Source organism: Homo sapiens, chromosome 15 (assembly GCF_000001405.40).
Source record: "Homo sapiens chromosome 15, GRCh38.p14 Primary Assembly".
NCBI lineage: Eukaryota > Metazoa > Chordata > Mammalia > Primates > Hominidae > Homo > Homo sapiens.
In genome coordinates, this window is record NC_000015.10 from 55,488,813 (window position 1) to 55,510,580 (window position 21,768).

The following is a 21,768-nucleotide window of genomic DNA, read 5'->3' on the forward strand; positions in this document are numbered from 1 at the left end:
GTGCGGCAGCTCACACCTGTAATCCCAGCACTTCGGGAAGCCAAGACGGGCAGATCACGAGGTTAGGAGAGCGAGACCATCCTGGCTAACACAGTGAAACCCTGTCTCTACTAAAAATACAAAAAAATTAGCCAGGCGTAGTGGCAGGCACCTGTAGTCCCACCTATTCGGGAGGCTGAGGCAGAAGAATGGTGTGAACCCAGGATGCAGAGCTTGCAGTGAGCTGAGATTGCGCCGCTGCACTCCAGCCTGGGCGACTAAGCAAGACTCCATCTCAAAAAAAAAAAACAAAAAACAAACCTTCAAGGTACAACATAGTGGTGCTTCCTGCTGGTCAACTGTTCTGTTTTGACATACCAATACAGCAGTAAGTGTGCCATTATTTAACTGTTTTATTATTTCAGTGAATATCTATTGCCACAAATTCTATATTAATTTTTTTAAATTCATGAAAATGATAAAATCAAAAGGCCAACAGCTGTGATCATACAATAAAGAAAAGATGGAATTAAGTATGCTAAAGGCAGGAATCTTTGACCAGCTGACCAGTTCAATTATTAAGTAAAAGACAAAGTATATGGCTCAGTGCGGTGACTCATGCCTGTAATCCCAACACTTTGGGAGGCCAAGGCGGGTGAATCACTTGAGGTCAGGAGCTCGACACCAACCTGGCCAATATGGTGAAGCCCTGTCTCTACTAAAAATATAAAAAATTAGCCAGGCGTGGTGGTGCACATCTGTAGTCCCAGCTACTCAGGAGACTGAGGCATGAGAATCTCTTGAACCCGAGTGGCAGAGGTTGCAGTGAGCTGAGATCTCACCACTGCACTCCAGCCTGGGCAACAGAGCCAGACACCATTTCAAAAAAAAAAAAAAAAAAAGTTAAGTGGAAGTGATAAAAAAAGTGGACAAATCTTTGGAATCATAAACTGTTGATAATAGAAAACAATGCTAGTTATGAAAATCCAAAAAACAGTCATGGGTCCACAAAAATCTTAAATAATGCGTATTATAGATTCCTTAGTCACTGCAACATGTCAAAATGGGAATTCGAGATAAGAAGTTTTTTTTTTTTTTTTGAGACGGCGTCTCACTCTGTCGCCCAGGCTGGAGTGCAGTGGCGCAATCTCCGCTCACTGCAACCTCCACCTCCTGGGTTCAAGCGATTTTCCTGCCTCAGCCTACCGAGTAGCTGGGATTACAGGTGCCCACCACCACGCGCGGCTGATTTTTGTATTTTTAGTAGAGACAGGGTTTCACTGTGTTGGCCAGGCTGGTGTTGAACTACTGACCTCATGATCCGCCCGCCTCGGCCTCCCAAAAGTGCTGGGATTACAGGCATGAGCCACTGCGCTTGGCCTGAGATAAGAATTTTTTTGTAAAAATTACTCAAAATAGGTATATCTATTGAGACAGAAAATAGATAAGCAGTTGCCTAGGACTAAGTGTTAGGGGAAATGGGGAGTGGCTGCTTAGGGGTATTGGTGCTTTTTGGGGGGTGATGAAAATGTTCTAAAATTGACTGTAGTAATGGTTACACAACTCTGAATGTACTAAAAACTATTAAATTGTACACTTTAAATGGGTAAATTATATGGAATGTGAATTGTTTCTCAAAAAATATATTGCTGATTAAAACTTTCACTTAAAACCCTTAACAGTTAAAAAAATTTGACAATAATGTTTTAAATATGCTTCTGTTTTAAAATCATATCTGTTATTCCAAGATTTAAAAAGAAGTAAAACACTTGCACCATTGAAACTTTATTTTTACTCCCCTAGAAATAGAACCCTCTCCCTGAAACAACTGTCCAACTTTTACACCTTTGACTTTCATTCAGATTTCAAGAACAAACATGGGCCGGGCACGGTGGCTCACGCCTCTAATCCCAGCACTTTGGGAGGCCGAGACGGGCAGATCACGAGGTCAGGAGATCGAGACCATCCCGGCTAACACGGTGAAACCCTGTCTCTACTAAAAACACAAAAAAATTAGCCTGGCATGGTGGCAGGTGCCTGTAGTCCCAGCTACTCAGGAGGCTGAGGCAGGAGAATGGCATGAACCCGGGAAGTGGAGCTTGCAGTGAGCCCAGATCACCGCACTGCACTCCAGCCTGGGCGACAGAGTGAGACTCGGTCTCAAGAAAAAAAAAAACACACATATAAATAGCAGACAGTCTATATAACATAGTAAGTCCTCTAAACAAAGTATGAAGAAAATGCTGAGGAAGTCCAGCAGCTGGAACTCACTATCCTCACATAGTCTACTATTATCTCTTTAGAGGACTTGCCTGTCATTCTGCAACTTACCTTCATCATGACACTTAGTGCGTATTTTTGATCTTCCCGCTTTGCTGCAGCTTTTGCTTCTGTAGCTTCTTTTGCTCTCTCTTGTGCTTGTAAAATAGATTTTTCTCTAATTCTTTGCATCATCTCTTTGTCAACTAAAATGTACAGAATATTGCTAAATTAGAATTATGACAAATTTGCTTTACTTATGAGAAAACTACTTAAATAAACTGACCCAGGATGAGATTTCTTTGTACCCAACTTCACAAGGAACATGGAAAATATTTTTCAATATTAAACTGGCCAAGAAGCTAATGTTAAAAGGTAAGCAACTAACTGTAATAATAATGAATGACTAGAGAATGAAGGGGGTGGAGAGGAAGAAGAAGGGATGGGGGAGGGACACAAGAGGCAGGTAATGAGAGGGAGAGGGTGAGGATGAAGGTGCAAGGACACATTTATCCTCTTCCTTCTCTGTTAAGAAACTAGGGCTATTTGCTTATAAACCTGATCACAATAAATCATCATTTATATAATATATAAAATATAAAATATATATTATATATTATAGATAATATTATATTATTATATAATAATATTATATACTATTATTATATAATAGTATATAATATAATATATAATATTATATTATAATAGTATATAATAATATAATAGGTAAGGTTTTATATATATTTATATATAATATTTTATATAATATATATAAATATATATAAAACCTTACCATCCACAGCTTGTTTGTTTGTTTTCCTGAGACTAGGTCTCTCTCTGTCACCCAGGCTGCTGGAGTGCAGTTAAGCAATCACAGCTTAATGTAACCTTAACCTCCTGGGCTCAAGCAATCCTCCTACCTCAGCTTCCTGAGTAGCTGGGACTACAGGTGTGTGCCAACACATCTGGCTAATTTTTAAATTTTATGTAGAGACGAGGTCTCACTATATTGCCCAGGCTGGTCTTGAACTCCTGGGCTCAAGCGATGCTCCTACCTTGGCCTCCCAAAGTGCTGGAATTACAGGCATGAGCCACCACGCAAGATCTCACAGTTATCTTTATATTTGATGTGGCCCAAAGTTTCACAAACTGAAGACTACGATCAATGGGTAAATTATCTTACAAAGGGAAGGATCAGAGCCTAAGGGAAAAGATCTAGCCTTTAAGCAGAAAAAAAAAAACAGAAGGGGAGAGGAGAAAACTTGAGGGGAAGACAAAGTAGGGGAGAGTAGATAAGGGGTGGGTAGAGGGATGAATCATACCCCAGGCATGGGTTCTTAACCTTTTTTGTGCAGCAGACACCTTGGCAGAGTAGTGAATCCTTATAAATCCTTTCACAATGTTTTAAAATGTATGAAATAAAATATACAGGTCTACAAAGAAACTCAGTTATATCAAAACACTTATAAAACATTAAGAAATAAAATTGTGATATACTTTTTTTTTTTGAGCCGGAGTCTTGCTCTGTTGCCAGGCTGGAGTGCTGTGGTCCGATCTCAGCTCACTGCAACCCCCGCCTCCTGGGTTCAAGCAATTCTCCTGCCTCAGCCTCCCAAGTAGCCGGGACTACGGGTGGGCATCACCACGCCCACCTAATTTTTATATTTTTAGTACAGACGGGGTTTCACCATGTTGGCCAGGATGGTCTTGATCTCCTGACCTTGTGATCCGCCTGCCTTGGCCTCCGAAAGTGCTGGGATTACAGGCGTGAGCCACTGCGGCCGGCCAAATTGTGATACACGATTATGTGCTTCTTTATTAATGCATTAATATATAGCAACAAGTCTAATATTGTAATTTCAAAGTAGAGTATAAAAGAGGTATCTCTGATATAAACATACTTTTGTTTTTGTTGATACTACTTGCTATGGTCTGAATGTTTATGTCTCCCTAAAACTCTTATGTTAAAATCCCAACCCTTAATGTGATATTATTTGTAGGTGAGGCCTTTTGGGAGGTAGTGTCCTTATACAGAAGGCCCCAGAAAGCAGACTTGCCCCTTCCACCATGTGAGGACACAGTACGGTGCCATCTACAGGAAAGTGAGCCCTCACCGCATACCAAACCTGCCAGGACCTTGATCTGGACTTCCCAGCCTACAGGAGTGTGAGAAATAAAGTTCTGTTGTTTATAAGCTTCTCAGTTGATGGTATTTTGTTATAGTACCCAAACAGACTAAGATACTACTATTATTTGTTGCCTATCTTCACAATTGAAGAGAATGTTAAATATCAGTTAGAGGTAAGTAAAAGTGTGTAATTTTATTCATCTAAGATCTTGGCTAAGAACTAGTACTGAAGTTAGGTCTGAAGCCTCTTCTCATCTCTCCTGCTGTTTAAAAACAGGAAGGTAGACAGCTAAGTCAGCTTCAGCGGCAGAAATAACTGGAAGAACATTAACTTCCCAAATGAAATACTCCATGTCTAATAGAAATAAAGAGTGTATCAAGAAGGAATTTCCAGAAAAAATGAGAAAAATTAGAGTCTGAATAATGAGGTAGACAGTCTACGTGTATAAACTGGAGTTCCACAATATTTTATGTGAAAAAAAAATGGTTAAATAAATAATCCCACTGAATTGCAAGTAAAATTGAGTTTGATTTCTTTTTTTTGAGAGAGGATCACATACTGTCACCCAGGTTGGAGTGCAGCATTATGAGCATGGCTTACTGCAGCCTCCACCTCTTGGGCTCAAGTGATCCTCCAACCTCAGCCTCCCAAGTAGCTGGGACTATAAGGCACATGCCACTATGCCCGGCTAATTTTTTTTTTTTAATAGAGGTGAAGTCTCCCTATGTTGCCCAGGCTGGTCTTGAATTCCTGGGCTCAAATGATCCTCCCACCTTGGCCTCCTAAAGTGCTGAGATTACTTTAGGCATGAGCCACTGTAACCTGGCAAAACTGAGTTTGATTTCTTTCTTGTTTTTTTTTTTTTTTGAGACTGAGTTTCGCTCTTGTTGCCCAGGCTGAAGTGCAATGGCACAATCTCGGCTCACCGCAACCTCCGCCTCCCGGGTTAAAGTGATTCTCCTGCCTCAGCCTCCTGAGTAGCTGGGATTGCAGGTATGCGCCACCATGCCCGGCTAATTTTGTATTTTTAGTAGAGACGGGGTTTCTCCATGTTGGTTAGGCTGGTCTCGGACTCCCAACCTCAGATGATCAGCCCGCCTCGGCCTACCAAAGTGCTGGGATTACAGGCGTGAGCCAGCGCGCCCGGCAAACTGAGTTTGATTTCTAAAGGAATCTCAAACCTGGTTTCTGAAGTAGAATCAATGTTCATTGTGATATAAATTAGTGGTTTTTTATTTTTTATTTTTTTTGAGATGGAGTCTCGCTCTGTTGCGCAGGCTGGAGTGCAGTGGTGAGATCTCAGCTCGCTGCAACCTCCACCACCCGGGTTCAAGCGATTCTCCTGCATCAGCCTCCCAAGTAGCTGGGACTACAGGCATCCACTACCACGCCTGACGAAGTTTTGTATTTTTAGTAGAGACAGGGTTTCACCATGTTGGCCAGGCTGGTCTCAAACTCCTGACCTCAGGTGATTCACCTGCCTCGGCCTCCCAAAGTGATGGGATTACAAGCATGAGCCACTGCGCTGAGCTTAAGTCAGTTTTAAGACTGTTTTGATTTGTCTAAATCAGAGGTTGGCAAACTATGACCCATGGGCCAAATCCGACCTGCCACCTGTTTCCCCTCAGCCCACAAGCCTTGAATAATTTTCACATTTTTAAATGGATGAAAAAAATCAAAATAACATTTTGTGGCATTTAAAAATTAGATGAAATTCAAATTTCATTGTCCATAAATATGAATCACCTGTGGCTACTTTTGTGCTACAATGGCAGAGCTGAATAGATATGACAGAGACCATATGGCCTGTGAAGTCTAAAATACTATCTGGTCCTTTACAGAAAAAGTTAATTTACAAGAGTCAAAATAAATGTATATTCAATTTTAGGTAAGAAGTCAAAACAGACTGGGTGTGTTATGACATCCTCAGGCCCCAACATAGACTTACTGAGTCACAGAGGAAGTAAGAGGTCAAAAAACAGGAACCTGATTCTTTAAAACTCTTTAGGTAGTCTGGGGCTCACTAAAAAAAAAAAAAAAAAAAAAAAAAAAATTAAGTAAACTGGCTATGTTAACCTACCTTAACCAGTATTCTCTGAGCTGAATACCCGATCTTAGAAAAATAAATTCTACCTTGGTCTTGGAAATTAAAAATTAAATTCCACTACAAGATACCAAGAAAGCCTTGATAGAAAGAATGGTTGCAACTCTTTCTACCCTCAAGAGTCCATATTCAAGGCTTAATGCCAAAGGCTTAAAAGAAATTCCAGGCAGTAGTCTGGGTGCAGTGGCTCACGCCTGAAATCCCAGCATTTGGGAGGCCAAAGTGGGAGGATCACTTGAGCCTAGGAGTTCAAGACCTATCGGCAACATAGTGAGACCCTGTCTCTACAAAAATAAAAACAATTACCTAGGTGTTTTGGTGCACACCTGTAGTCCCTGCTACTCAGGAGGTCGAGGCAGGAGAATTGCTGGAACCTAGGAGTTTGAGGTTACAATGAGCTATGGTAACACCAACCGCACTCCAGCGTTGGTGATAGGGTGAGATTCTATCTCTTAAAAAACTCAAAATTAAAAAAAATAAATTCCAGGCAGTAAACATAAAGTATTAGAAAACATGACAACTAAAGAAGGAAGGAGGAAAACAGGGCTAAAGCAGTAGAGGACAATTACTGACTATGGAAGCTGATCTTGGTATTAGTACAAAGCACTGACAACTAGCTTAATAAGACTACAGAGAACTAGCTTTAAAACTGGGGATGTCAGGCCGGTCGCGGTGGCTCATGGCTGTAATCCCGGCACTTCGGGAGGCCGAGGTGGGTGGATCACTTGAGGTCAGGAGTTTGAGACCAGCCTGGCCAACATATAGTGAAACCTTGTCTCTACTAAAAAATACAAAAATTAGCTGGACGTGGTGGCACGTGCCTGTAGTCCCAGCTACTTGGGAGGCTGAGGCTGAAGAATCACTTAAACCTAGGGAGGCGGAGGTTGCAGTGAGCCGAGATCGCATCACTGCACTCCAGCCTGGGTGACTGAGCGAGACTCTGTCTTTCCAAACAAACAAACAACAACTGGGGATTTCAACTTTGGCTGCACATTATAATTCCTGGAAAGCTTTTCAAAACTTCCAACACCTGAGTCCTATTCCCAGAAACTGATTTCACTGGATTAGAGTATTATTTTAAAATTCCATAGCTGATTCAAATATGTAGCCAGGGTTGGGAACATCTGCTCTAGAGTGAAACTGCTAAGGCTCCAGTTCCAGGCTGCCAGTCACTAGCTGTGTGATTTTGCCAATTACTCAAACTTTCCATATGTCAGTAGCCTCCCCTGTAAAAAAAGGGTAATAATACCTAAGTGACAGGTTGTTTCATGGAATTACAGGCATGTTAACACCTAACGCAAAGTTAAGTACTCAATAAAGGCTATATATCAGGAGGGCTTACCCTTAAGACATGAGCCCACATCTTCTGCTTAATGTGCTCTAACTTTGACTAATTCAGCCTTTAGGTTTATTTAAATGGCTGCTGAAGCACTGTATCACTTAAATTAGGCTCATAAGCCTTTTTTTTTTTCTAAAACAGCAATTGAATGAGTTCAGGATATGCCACCCCAAAATATGCTGCTTTCATATAGCGATCATTTTGAGTTAAAGGCACTTGAAAGCAGCAAATGCAGGGAGAGGTTTTGCCAGAACTCCTCTTATCTGCCTAAAAACAGATTTTCCAAAGGAACCCAAGTGTCATAAATCTCTTCCCCTGGAGTTTCATTAACCAGGGAATATTGACTATTCTCCCAGAAAAGGAAACTACAAGTCAACACCACACTCTGACAAATTTTGTTAAAAGCTATCACATTTCCTATCTATTCTTCTAAGGATCCATTCATCTTTCCTAAAAATCATTTCCTGTTCTAAGCGGCCTACATCCCCTCCCCCTTCCCCTATTAAGACAGTCCCTAAACTCTCAAATCTCACCGCTTGGGGGGTATTCACTTTTTTCCCTGTGATGCCCTCAAGCACTAATATTAAAAATTCATAAATTTCTATACATTTTCTTCTGTCAATCCTTCTGTTGTTAGTTTATTTTATAGACCCAGCTATTGAACCTTGGAGAGTAAAAGGAAAGTCTATCTGGCCGGGTGTGGTGGCTCGCACCCGTAATCCCAGCACTTTGGGAGGTCAAGGCGGGTGGATCACTTAATGACCGGTCAGGAGTGTGAGACCAGCCTGGCCAACATGGCAAAACGCTCTACCAAAAATACAAAAAAATTTAGCCGGGCGTGGTGGCGGACACCTATAATCCCAGCTACTTGAGAGGCTGAGGTAGGAGAATCCCTTGAACCCCGGGGGCAGAGGTTGCAGTAAGCCGAGATCATGTCACTGCACTCCAGCCTGGGCGACAGAGCAAGACTCTTAAAAAAAAAAAATCTATCTTCCCCTACACAATATAGGTGCTTCAAAATAAAATTTTTTAAAAGGTCTGAAACCGAAAAGGTACAACCAGATGAACATCTTTTAATAAAGAACTTACCACCCGTCACAGAAAGGGTCTCCCACATGGCCGCTTCTTTTTTATACAAGGTGAAGACAATGGTGTCATTCCCAATCTTTGCTTTGCTGCTCTCATCGTCTATGGGAGCATAAAGAAATGCCTCAAATAAAAATGGAGGAAAGTTGACCTATGCAGAAGGGTGAAAACAGAAACTAAGTTAGTTACACAAATTAAGCACGCGTATTAAGAAACACGTGAAAAAGGTAAAATAACTTTCTAAAAGGCCCACTAAATTTATGCCAGGTAGTGAAAGATTAGCAAGGCATATGAGGAAGCCCTGGATAAAAGTAGTCTCTGATCTGATTATCTGTCTACAGATGGTGTGTTACCTGTATGGGATTCATTTTTTTAATAGGATTAAAAATTTAGGACGTTTATCGGCAAAGATGAGCCTGTTGCTCGTGCCCAGCTGCGCTCTTGCAGAAGCTTCGGACCACACCCCCGGAGACCGGCAGGCAAGACTTGCATTCTTACCTTCAGATAGTTTTCCGTGCAGAACACGTCCGTGTCTCTGACGCACACGCCTTTGAGGGGCAGAGACAGAAAGACCGCAGTCTTCGTCTGCTGCCAGCTGTAATCGCTAACCTGAAGAGGCATTCCGGTAGCAACGGGAGCGGATAGCGCGGCTGGTTGCTTCTTGCGCCTGCTTGGTTGCTAGGGAAGCTGGGGTTACCATGCGCCAGCCCTTCCGGGTCAGGCCGGCCGGGAGCCCGGCGTTCCCAGCGTGCTCCGGCGCCAGCACCTCGCGGACTCCATGCGTGACTATCCAGGCGCCCAGACCAGAGAGTGATGCCGATTCTTGGGGTTACCTTACGATCTGAGCGAATGTTCAAAGAAGTAGACCCATACCCTCTGCTTGAGAAAAAAAAAAAAAAAAAAAAGCACTCTGTGGGTCGGGCGCGCTAGCTCACGCCTGTAATCCCAGAACTTTGGGAGGCCGAGGCGGGCGGATCACCTGAGGTTGGGAGTTCGAGACCAGCCTGACCAACATGGAGAAACCCCGCCTCTACTAAAAATACAAAATTAGCCGGGCGTGGTGGTGCATGCCTGTAATCTCAGCTACTCTGGAGGCTGAGGCTGAGGCAGCAGAATCGCTTGAACCCGGGAGGCAGGGGTCGCAGTGAGCCGAAATCGCGCCATTGCACTCCAGCCTGGGAAACAAGAGCGAAACTCCGTCTCAAAAAAAAAAAAAGAAAAGAAAAAGAAAGAAAGAAAAAAAAAAGCACTTCCAGCCTCATAATGCGATAATGCTAAGGAGGGCTGTGGGCATAAGGCTCGGGAAAGCAGCCCATGAGGAGCAGGTGCAATGCCCATACGCCCTTGGTGCAGTGTCTTGTCTGTTTATTCTGACTGAGGCTATTAAGAGTTAGCGCTAGTTGTTCTGTTTTGCAAATTTCTTGGTCATACAGACTGTGAACAAATGTGAACCTGAAAGAGCCAATCCGTCAACATCCAGAGCGGCTAACTGGGTCTAAATTTAAAATAGAGACACGTGGTCATTTACCTACTAGAGGTCACACATGGACTCTGCGTTCTCCCCAAACCCACACCTCTGTTGAGTGTTGGGTCTTATAGGGCTCACCTGCCTCAACCAATCAGGGCTCAGCTGTATCAACCAATCAGAACTAAGTGCGGTTCAATCGTTCATTTGTATAAACGAACCTGACTGGGAACCTGGGCAGAAACTTTTGCTGTAAAACCCAAACCCTCCCTTTGTTCTCTGGAATGCACCTTTGTTTTACACCTAAGGCTTCAACTCCCCAGTTTGCAAACTGTTCCCTGAAATAGTTGCTTTGCTCCAAATTCCTCTTCAGAAAACGTTTGTTCACAACACATACCAGGAGCTTGTCTAAAACTATTGTATCCTGCAAATCCTATTAACTGTAAGGCCGCCAAAAGCACCTATATAGGTTTTGCTCCAAAGTTTGAAAACTGAAGAGAAACCACCCTATGATTCATCTGACAAATGCTTTGCTACAAATCTGGAATAGGGTAAATTGGAATTACACTGACACATTCCGTAAGTGCTTAAGTAGAATCTGAACTTAAGTGCTGCAGAGAAGCTTGAAGATTATGTAGTCTTATTCTACATATTTAAGGAATCTGAAACCTATACACAAACCATTTTCGTATAGATTAGTAGCAGACCATCATTAAAATCCTGATCTCTTAACTCCCATTACAATGTTTTTGCTCCAGGCTGCTTTCTGCACACCCAGTTTATAAATTGCTGGGATAAAACAGTGAATGTATACAATATTTAGATACACACAAATTACTTCCCACTTGGGGCTTTTGATTTTCAACTTTTTTTTAACTTTAAAAAAAAAACAGAGAAACTGGGCCTTTGTGGAAATCTGAAAGTATAATACAAAACCCTGGATTTTAAACTTATTTACTTTTGGAAGCCTTTCTTTCACACAAATTTCAATGCTCCTTAGAAATTCATTGAGGAAAGATAAGGAGCAACAGACTTGAAGAGAAAACCATCTTTTCCCCAAAATAGGGCACACTCACTACCTTAGCAGTTCATCATCTCAAGCTTCTGGTAACTTTGAATACTGGGAGTCATCCTAGACTTGCTTTCCCTTGTCCCTTTAAGCTGAGAAACCCACGAATCCCATGGACTTTTTTAAAAAAATTTCTTTTGTCATTTTCCCCCTTTTGTTCTATTCCTACTTTTACCATATTGTTTCCAAATCTTACATTATCTTCTAAAGACAGGGTTTATGCATTTCTTTCATATAAAATGTTAAAGTCCAGGTTCTCCCACTATACAGAAATATGTGAGATTTTATATGCATGAAAGATAATAATGTAAAGGATACTTTGTGCTGTCGGGGATTTCAGGAAAATCTGTTAGCAATCACTTTGCTAAACACATACACACCTCTGCAGTGAAATTATTCTCCTGACTACCATGATCCTACTAAACTTTTAGACTCTGAATGAATTATACCTTAAAAACTTGTCAAGTTGGCCGGGCGTGGTGGCTCATGCCTGTAATCCCACCACTTTGGAAGGCCGAGGTGGGCGGATCACCTGAGGTTGGGAGTTCAAGACCAGCCTGACGAACATAGAGAAAGCTCGTTTCTACTAAAAATACAAAATTAGCCAGGCATGGTGGCACATGTCTGTAATCCCAGCTACTCGGGAGGCTGAGGCAGGAGAATTGCTTGAACCCAGGAGGCAGAGGTTGCCATGAGCTGAGAGCGTGCCATTGCACTCCAGCCTGAGCAACAAGAGTGAAACTGAGTCTCAAAAAAAAAAAAAAAAAAAAATGGAAACTTAAAAAAAAAAATACCTGTATGATATTGGAGTAAGAAAGGATTTTTTTGTTGTTGTTTTTTCAGACGGAGTCTCACTCTCTCACCAGGCTGGAGTGCAGTGGCGCGATCTCGGCTCACTGCAACCTCCACCTCCGGGGTTCAAGCGATTCTCCTGCCTCAGCCTCCTGAGTAGCTGGCACTATGGGCATGCACCACGAAGCCCAGCTAATTTTTGTATTTTTAGTAGGGACGGGGTTTCACCGTATTGGCCAAGATGGTCTCGATCTCCTGACCTCATGATCCGCCCACCTCGGCCTCCCAAAGTGCTGGGATTACAGGCGTGAGCCACTGTGCCTGGCAGGATTTCTTTCTTTCTTTTTTTTTTTTTTTTTGAGGCGGAGTCTCGCTCTTTCGCCCAGGCTGGAGTGCAGTGGCGCTATCTCGGCTCACTGCAAGCTCCGCCTCCTGGGTTCACGCCATTCTCCTGCCTCAGCCTCCCTAGTAGCTGGGACTACAGGTGCCCGCCACCGCATCCGGCTGATTTTTTGCATTTTTAGTAGAGACGGGGTTTCACCGTGTTAGCCAGGATGGTCTCGATCTCCTGACCTCGTGATCAACCCACCTCGGCCTCCCAAAGTGCCGGGATTACAGGTGTAAGCCACCACGCCGGGCCAGGATTTCTTAAATATAACATAAAAAGCACTCATTAGGGAGGCAAAAAATTAAAAACGAACTAAAATTAAGAAGTGTTGCTCACTGGGCTGGGCGGGGTGGCTCACGCCTGTAATCCCAGCACTTTGGGAGGCCGAGGCAGGTGGATCACTTGAGGTTAAGAGTTTGAGACCAGCCTGGCCAACATGGTGAAACCCCATCTCTATTAAAAATACAAAAATTAGCCAGAGGTGGTGGTGTGTGCCTGTAATCCCAGCTACTCAGGAGGCTGAGGCAGGAGAATCGCTTGAACCTGGGAGGCGGAAGTTGCATTGAGCCGAGATCATGCCACTGCACTCCAGCCTAGGCAACAAGAGCAAGACTCTGTCTCAAAAGAAAAAAAAAAAAGAAGTGGTGCTCACCAAAAGGCATAATAAAGACTATTAAGATCTCTGAAATATGCCCTTCAGCCAGAGACACAGGGACATTTGTGGTTGAACAAGATGAATTCATTGCTCACTGAGCAAGAGAGAACACACATCATGGGGTGTCTCAGTAAGACAGTTTTAGAATTTAGGAGAAGGAGGTTTGGTTCCCCCATAGTATGAGTGTTTTCAGAAAGCAAGGGTAATTCTATTGATGGAGTTCAGGACATGCTACCCCAAATTATGACACTTTAATTAAATTTTTAAAATTTAAATATTTAAAAATTAATTATTTTAAGCTGAAGGAATTGCAGCTCATATCCTTTGTGTTATTAGGTTTTCCTATGACTTTTCATTCTCTATCAAACCTAGCATAAAAATGCTCAGGTTTAATCATTTCTTCCATTCTTCATGTCCTTAAGAAGGTTCCCATGTTATGTAAACTTATATTGAATAAATTTGTATGTTTTTTGTATTGTTAATCTCTCTTTTCTTACAAAGGCCCCAGTCAAGAACTTAGAAGGGTAGAAGGAGAAGATATTTTTTCTTCCCTACGTGATGACTGGTAAAAAAAAGTAGCTGTTGCTCTTGAATTACTGGGTAAATATCGAAATGAAGGCAGAAATAAAGATGTTATTTGAAACCAGTAAGAACAAAGACACAACGTACCAGAATCTCTGGGGCACATTTAAAGCAGTGTGTAGAGGGAAATTTATAGCACTAAATGCCCACAAAAGAAAGCAGGAAAGATCTAAAATCGACACCCTAACATCACAATTAAAAGAACTAGAGAAGCAAGAGCAAACACATTCAAAAGCTAGCAGAAGGCAAGAAATAACTAAGATCAGAAAAGAACTGAAGGAGATAGAGACACAAAAAACCATTCAAAAAAATCAGTGAATCCAGCAGCTGGTTTTTTGAAAAGATCAACAAAATTGATAGACCTGTAGCAAGACTAATAAAGAAGAAAAGAGAAAAGAATCAAATAGACGCAATAAAAAATGATAAACGGGATATCACCACCGATACCACAGAAATACAAACTACCATCAGAGAATACTATAAACACCTCTACGCAAATAAACTAGAAAATCTAGAAGAAATGCATAAATTCCTCGACACATACACCCTCCCAAAACTAAACCAGGAAGAATTTGAATCTCTGAACAGACCAATAACAGGCTCTGCAATTGAAGCAATAATTAATAACCTACCAACCAAAAAAAGTCCAGGACCAGACGGATTCAGAGCCGAATTCTACTGGAGGTACAAGGAGGAGCTGGTACCATTCCTTCTGAAACTATTCCAATCAATCGGAAAAGAGGGAATCCTCCCCAACTCATTTTATGAGCCAGCATCATCCTGATACCAAAGCCTGGCAGAAACACAACAAAAAAAGATAATTTTAGGCCAATATCCCTAAGGAACATCGATGCAAAAATCCTCAATAAAATACTGGCAAACCGAATCCAGCAGCACCTCAGAAAGCTTATCCACCACGATCAAGTCGGCTCCATCCCTGGGATGTAAGGCTGGTTCAATATACGCAAATCAATAAACATAATCCATCACATAAACAGAACCAAAGACAAAAACCACATGATCATCTGAATAGATGCAGAAAAGGCTTTTGACAAAATTCGATAGCCTTTCATGCTAAAAACTCTCAATAAACTAGGTATTGTTGGAACGTATCTCAAAATAATAAGAGCTATTTATGAGGAACCCACAGCCAATATCAAACTGAATGGGCAAAAACTGGAAGCATTCCCTTTGAAAACCGGCACAAGACAAGGATGCCCTCTCTCACCACTCCAATTCAATATAGTAATGGAAGTTCTGGCCAGGGCAATCAGGCAAGAGAAAGCAATATAGGGTATTCAAGTAGGAAGAGAGGAAGTCAAATTGTCTCTGTTTGCAGACGACATGATTGTCTATTTAGAAAACCGCATAGCCTCAGCCCAAAATCTCCTTAAGCTGATAAGCAACTTCAGCAAAGTCTCAGGATACAAAATCAATGTGCAAAAATCACAAGCGTTCCTATACACCATTAACAGACAGAGAACCAAATCATGAGTGAACTCCCATTCACAATTGCTACAAAGAGAATAAAATACCTAGGAATCCAACTTACAAGGGATGTGAAGGACCTCTTCAAGGAGAACTACAAAACACTGCTCAGTGAAATAAAAGAGGACACAAACAAATGGAAGACCATTCCATGCTCATGGATAGGAAAAATCAATATTGCGAAAATGGTCCTACTGCCCAAGGTAATTTATAGATTCAATGCTATCCCCAACAAGCTACCAATGACTTTCTTCACAGAATTGGAAAAAACTACTTTAAGGTTCATATGGAACCAAAAAAGAACCCGCATAGCCAAGACAATCCTAAACAAAAAGATCAAAGCTGGAGGCATTACACTACCTGACTTCAAACTATACTACAAGGCTACAGTAACCAAAACAGCATGGCACTGGTACCAAAAGAGATATATAGACCAATGGAACAGAACAGAGGCCTCAGAAATAACACTATACATCTACAACCATCTGATCTTTCACAAACCTGATAAAAACAAGCAATGGGGAAATGATTCCCTATTTAATAAATGTGCTGGGAAAACTGTCTAGCCATATGTAGAAAGCTGAAACTGGATCCCTTCCTTACACCTTATACAAAAATTAACTCAAGATGGATTAAAGACTTAAATGTAAGACCTAAAACCATAAAAACCCTAGAAGAAAACTTAGGCAATACCATTTAGGACATAGGCATGGGCAAAAACTTCATGACTAAAGCACCAAAAGCAATGGCAACAAAAGCCAAAATTGACAAATGGGATCTAATTAAACTAAAGAGCTTCTGCACAGCAAAAGAAACTATCATCAGAGTGAACAGGCAACCTACAGAATGGGAGAAAATTTTTGCAATCTATCCATCTGACAAAGGGCTAATATCCAGAATCTACAAAGAACTTAAACAAATTTACAAGAAAAAAACAACCCCATCAAAAAGTGAGCAAAGGATATGAACAGACACTTCTCAAAAGAAGACATTTATGCATCCAACAGACATATGAAAAAATGCTTGTCATCACTGGTCATCAAAGAAATGCAAATCAAAACCACAGTGAGATACCATCTCACACCAGTCAGAATGGTGATCATTAAAACGTCAAGAAACAATAGATGCTGGAGAGGATGTGGAGAAATAGGAACACTTTTACACTTTTGGTGGGAGTGTAAATTAGTTCAACCATTATGGAAGACAGTGTGAAGATTCCTGAAGGATCTAGAACTAGAAATACCATTTGACCCAGCAATCCCATTACTGGGTATATATAAAAGATTATAAATCATGCTACTATAAAGACACATGCACACGTATGTTTACTGAGGCACTATTCACAATAGCAAAGACTTGGAACCAACCCAAATGTCCATCAATAATAGACTGGATAAAGAAAATGTGGCACATATACACCATGGAATACTATGCAGCCATAAAAAAGGAGGAGTTCACGTCCTTTGCAGGGACATGGATGAATCTGGAAACCATCACTCTCAGCAAAATAGCACAAGGGCAGAAAACCAAACACCACGTGTTCTCACTCGTAAGTGGGAGTTGAAAAATGAGAACACATGGACACAGGGAGGGGAACATTACACACTGGGGCCTGTTGAGAGGTGGGGGGGCTGGGGGAGGGATAGCGTTAGGAGAAATACCTAATGTAAGTGACAAGTTGATGGGTGCAGCAAACCAACATGGCACATGTATACCTATGTAACAAACCTGCACGTTGTGCACATGTACCTTAGAACTTAGAGTATAATAATAAAAAAAGTAGCTGTTGTACATTTTATCCAGAAAGGGGGTGTCTGTTATCTTATGGGTGACACAAAGACCTTGTTTTTGCCTATGCTTAGATAATGCTATGAAGTGGCCTTGTCTCATTTTATTGTGATCTCAGAGTACTTTTGTCTCAGCTTGGTATTCTATGAGATTTAAATTGTTAATGTTCAACAGAATAATATTATGGCCAAGCTGTGAGTGCCAGGTCAGCTTCTGAATATCAGGGGCTGCTTTTTGCCCTCTTTCTCAATAATAAACAAAGAGAACATATAAACAAAATATATAGAGAAAAAGAAACACAACCCCACAATAAAATGGGCAAATTGGCATAATCTTATTAATGTGAATACCTGCTTATTTTATAACCAGCAATTCCACTCCTATGTATCTATCTTAGAGATTTCTAGCAAGTTCCTAGGTGATGCTGATGCTTTGTGAACCACTGTCCTACAACAGGGTTTTTCAGCCTCCACACTATTAACATTATAGGCTGGATCATTTTGTATAATTTAGGCTGCTCTGTGCATTTTAAGATGTTTAGCAGCATCCACCCTCTTAATTCTAGTAACACTCCTGAGTTCTAATAATAAAAGTGTCTCCAGACATTGCCAAATGTCTTCTGGGTTTCAGGGGTGGGTGGGAATAGCAAAATTTCCCCCATCTGAGAATTACTGCCCTAGAAAAAGTCTTGGTCCTATACACTAGGAAACATTTATAGGTGTTCATAGCAACTTCATAGAAAAAAACCTGAAAATAAGCCAAATGTCTTTCAACAGGTATATACACAAAACAGAATATTATACAACAATAAAAATGAGTGAATGATAGCTATACATTGGATGGATGAGTGAAAAAAGCAAGTCAAATAATATCCTCAAGAAATAATGCTATTTTATACAACTTTTACTTTTTTATTTTTCTTTTTTCTTTTTTTGATGGAGTTTCACTCTTGTCACCCAGGCTGGAGTGCAATGGGGCATCTTGGCTCACTGCAATCTCTGCCTCCCAGGTTCAAGCGATTCTCCTGTCTCAGCCTCCTGAGTAGCTGGGATTACAGGCACCCACCACCAAGCCTGGCTAATTTTTTGTATTTTTATTAGAGGTGGGGTTTCACCATGTTGGCCAGGCTGGTCTCGAACTTCTGACCTCAGGTGATCCGTTCACTTCCATCTCCCAAAGTGCTGGGATTACAGGCATGAGCTACCATGCCTGGCCTTTATAAAACTTTTGAACAACGGAAACTGAATCCACTAGATAAGGATTCCTAGGTATGTGGTAAAACTATACAAACACTTCTCTACTTACAATGTGGTTACCTCCTGATAAACCCATCATAAGTTGAAAATATCCTATGTCAAAAATACATGTAAAACACCTAACCTACCAAACACCATAGCTTAGGCTACCCTACCTTAAACATGCTCAGAACACTTACATTAGCCTACAGTTGGGCAAAGTCATCTAACATAATAAGGTGTAATAAAGTGTCTAATATACCCTGTAATTTATTGAATACTGTATTAAAAATGAAAAACAGAATGGTTGTATGGGTACTCACAGCATGGTTTCTACTGAATGCATATAGCTTTTGCATCACTGTAAAGTTAGGAAATCAAAGAGAAACCATCATAAGTCAGGGGTCGTCTGTAAAGATAGGCACTAGAAAGGAGAGTGGTTAACTCTTATGTGAAGTTCATACAAGTGGGAGCCTTTTTGGTAACCAACAGAACTGATTACCACATAGTCACACTGTATGAATTAAAACGAAGGCCCGGGATGCACATTGTGTCTCACGCCTGTAATCTCAGCACTTTGGGAGTGTCACTTGAGGCCAGGAGTTCAGGTTACAGTGGACTATGATTATGCCACTGCACTCTAGCCTGAGTAACAGGGACTCAAAAATTAAATTAAAACAATAAATAAAATAAATAAATACAAATAAAATTAAATACAGAGGTTCTCAGAATGTGGTCCTCCCCACCACCACCAGCAATATTACCATCATCTGGGGACCTGTTAGAAATGCAAATTCCCAGTCTCCTTCTAGATCTATTGAACCAGAAGTTCTGGAAGTGGGGCACAGCAATCTGTGTTTTATCCAGCCTACCAGATAATTTTGATACACACCAAAGTTTGAGAACCACTAGATTAAGGGATGAGTTTTACTGGGGAAAGGGGAAACTTACAAAACCAAGAGAAAACACAGGTTTCCCCCTTCTCCCATCATCCCAAGGAGCAGCATGCTGGGGCCAGAGTAGTCTGCTGGATCCATGGTGTGGGTTTGCATAATAGGAGAGGAATCCCATCCTCTTGTTGCTCTCCTATTTATAGGGCACACACAAAAAGAATTTTGTCAGTAAGGAAACTACTAGAGCACCAGGCAGTCTGTTTACAGGCATTTATTTGTTTGTTTGTTTGTCTGAGACAGACTCTCACTCTGTCGCCCAGGCTGGAGTGCAGTGGCACGATCTCAGCTCACTGCAAGCTCCACCTCCCGGGTTCACGCCATTCTTCTGCCTCAGCCTCCCCAGTAGCTGGGACTACAGGCGCCCGCCACCATGCCCGGCTAATTTTTTGTATTTTTAGTAGAGACGGGGTTTCACTGTGTTAGCCAGGATGGTCTTAATCTCCTGACCTCGTGATGCGCCCCCCTCGGCCTCCCAAAGTGCTGGGATTACAGACGTGAGCCACTGCGCCCGGCCCGATAGGTATTTTTTGAAAAAGCCCATTATCCAGTATCTGGAGACCTTGGGTCAAACAGAAAGTTGTTGGAACTTGTGTTGGAAGAAACTGTCCATCCCATGAAAAGCTGAGTTCAGGTGTAGCCCCTCCAACTGTGAGCCAGAAGGTCCAGGTCCCACTGGCTGGTTGCCCAGGAAAATCCAGAGAAAACACCCAAGGTCGTTTCTGTTTGATTCTGGTCATTGCATTAAAGCGTGCAATCAGAAAGCATGAAGGAGACTGACAGGTGTATTAGTCTGTTCTCACGCTGCTAATAAAGACATACCCAAGACTGGGTTATAAAGGAAAGAGGTTTAATTGACTCACAATTCTGCAAGGCTGGGGAGGCCTCAGGAATCTTACAATCTTGGTGGAAGGGAAAGCAAACACGTCCTTCTTCACATGACCGCAGCAAGGAGAAGTGCAGAGCAAAGTAGGGGGAAGCCCCTTATAAAATCATCAGATCTCATGAGAACTCACCCACTACCACAAGAGCAGCATGGAGGTAACTGCCCCCATGATTCGGTTATCACCCACTGGGTCCCCACGTTGGGATTATGGGAACTACAATTCAAGATGAGATTTGGGTGGTGACACAGCCAAACCATATCACCAGGTTATTTTTTTCCTCTCTCTGTAATTTTCAGTGATAGATTTATACTTATTCCTTTTATTATTAATAGTTTATGTATGTAAATCCATAAATTATTTTGTTTGTAAAAAATATTACAAGTTTAAAGTAAAAATTTCAAAACAATCTCTATAGTACACAAGCATACTTATTTCCTTATTTCATATCCTGAGGTTCTTAGAGAGTGTAAGCATACATTATGGAGCAAAAATTAAGTATGATTTACTATTCGTAACCTAAAATTAATTACCTATAATTTTATTTACTTTTGATGTGCAAAATTCGAAATTTTGCCATTGGAAAAGGTTGCTTTCTATGTTTTCTTAACACCACTTTGGAACTTTAAAAGGCATTTAAAAAAATCCCTCATTCTAGTAGCAAGATCACTTAGGTCCACCTTAAAGGTTTTTCTTTTCTTTTTTTTTCTCTAGGAATTGAAATTCTCCAAGAACTTTTAGTTCTATTTAGTGGAGAATAGCTTTACAGACCAAACTCTAGGCACTAGGTGTTAAATGCATTAGTTATTTTACTATTTTAAATTTGGGCTTTCGGAAATGATAATGTGATTTAAAATTAAATGAGAATATCTAGGTAGAGGTCATGTAGAATGTGAAGTGACCCTGCATAATTTTCCTTTTCTTTTGGGTCCTAATATCTTAGATATATATTTATAGGGTATGAGCTTGATTGTTTTTCCTATTAGACTTGTTTTGGCACAATACCACTTATTTCATTTTTTTTTTTTCAAAACGGAGTCTCGCTCCATTGCCCAGACTGGAGTGCAGTGGTGTGATCCTGGCTCACTGAAACCTCCACCTCCTGGGTTCAAGTGATTCTCCTGCCTCAGCTTCCCTAGTAACTGGGAGTACAGGCATGCGCCACCATGCCTGGCTAATTTTTTTGTATTTTTAGTAGAGACGGGGTTTCACCATGTTGGCCAGGCTGGTCTTGAATGCCTGACCTCAGGGGATCTACCCACCTCAGCCTCCCAAAGTGCTGGGATTACAGGTGTGAGCCACCACACCTGGCCTAGTTATTTAATTAAAAAAAAAAGTTTTAAGGGACTCTTAAGGAGAACAACTATTATTAAAGTAGAATTTTGTAGGCTTAATTAATCCTTAAAGAGGATTAATAAGGGGAGAATATAAACAAACATGAAGGTTTGTTTTTGTGTCATCCACACATTTTTTAAACATTTTAAAATTGAGTTTAGTTTATAACTGAGTAGAGTTTAAAATGTTAACATTTTGTCATTAGATAAATGCAAATTCCTATTTGTATTTATTATCTATG

At 41.2% G+C, this 21,768-nt stretch overlaps 1 protein-coding gene and 1 long non-coding RNA gene across 4 annotated transcripts in view; both read right to left on the reverse strand.

Moving 5' to 3' along the window:
• Positions 1 to 9,772, reverse strand: part of DNAAF4-CCPG1 (DNAAF4-CCPG1 readthrough (NMD candidate)) — a 143,362-nt gene extending 133,590 nt beyond the window's left edge. The window contains exons 1-3 of the long non-coding RNA NR_037923.1: positions 9,395 to 9,772; positions 8,900 to 9,047; positions 2,311 to 2,444 (exon numbers count right to left, since the gene is read on the reverse strand). This is a non-coding gene — a long non-coding RNA (DNAAF4-CCPG1 readthrough (NMD candidate)). The remainder of the gene's footprint in view (positions 1 to 2,310; positions 2,445 to 8,899; positions 9,048 to 9,394) is intronic.
• The window catches only part of DNAAF4 (dynein axonemal assembly factor 4), a 90,480-nt gene extending 71,058 nt beyond the window's left edge, over positions 1 to 19,422 (reverse strand). For all 3 annotated transcript variants that reach the window (NM_001033560.2, NM_001033559.3, NM_130810.4), the window contains exons 1-4: positions 19,310 to 19,422; positions 9,395 to 9,772; positions 8,900 to 9,047; positions 2,311 to 2,444 (exon numbers count right to left, since the gene is read on the reverse strand). In NM_001033560.2, the coding sequence (NP_001028732.1) occupies positions 2,311 to 2,444; positions 8,900 to 9,047; positions 9,395 to 9,517 (405 nt within the window). In that variant the 5' untranslated portion in view covers positions 9,518 to 9,772; positions 19,310 to 19,422. The remainder of the gene's footprint in view (positions 1 to 2,310; positions 2,445 to 8,899; positions 9,048 to 9,394; positions 9,773 to 19,309) is intronic.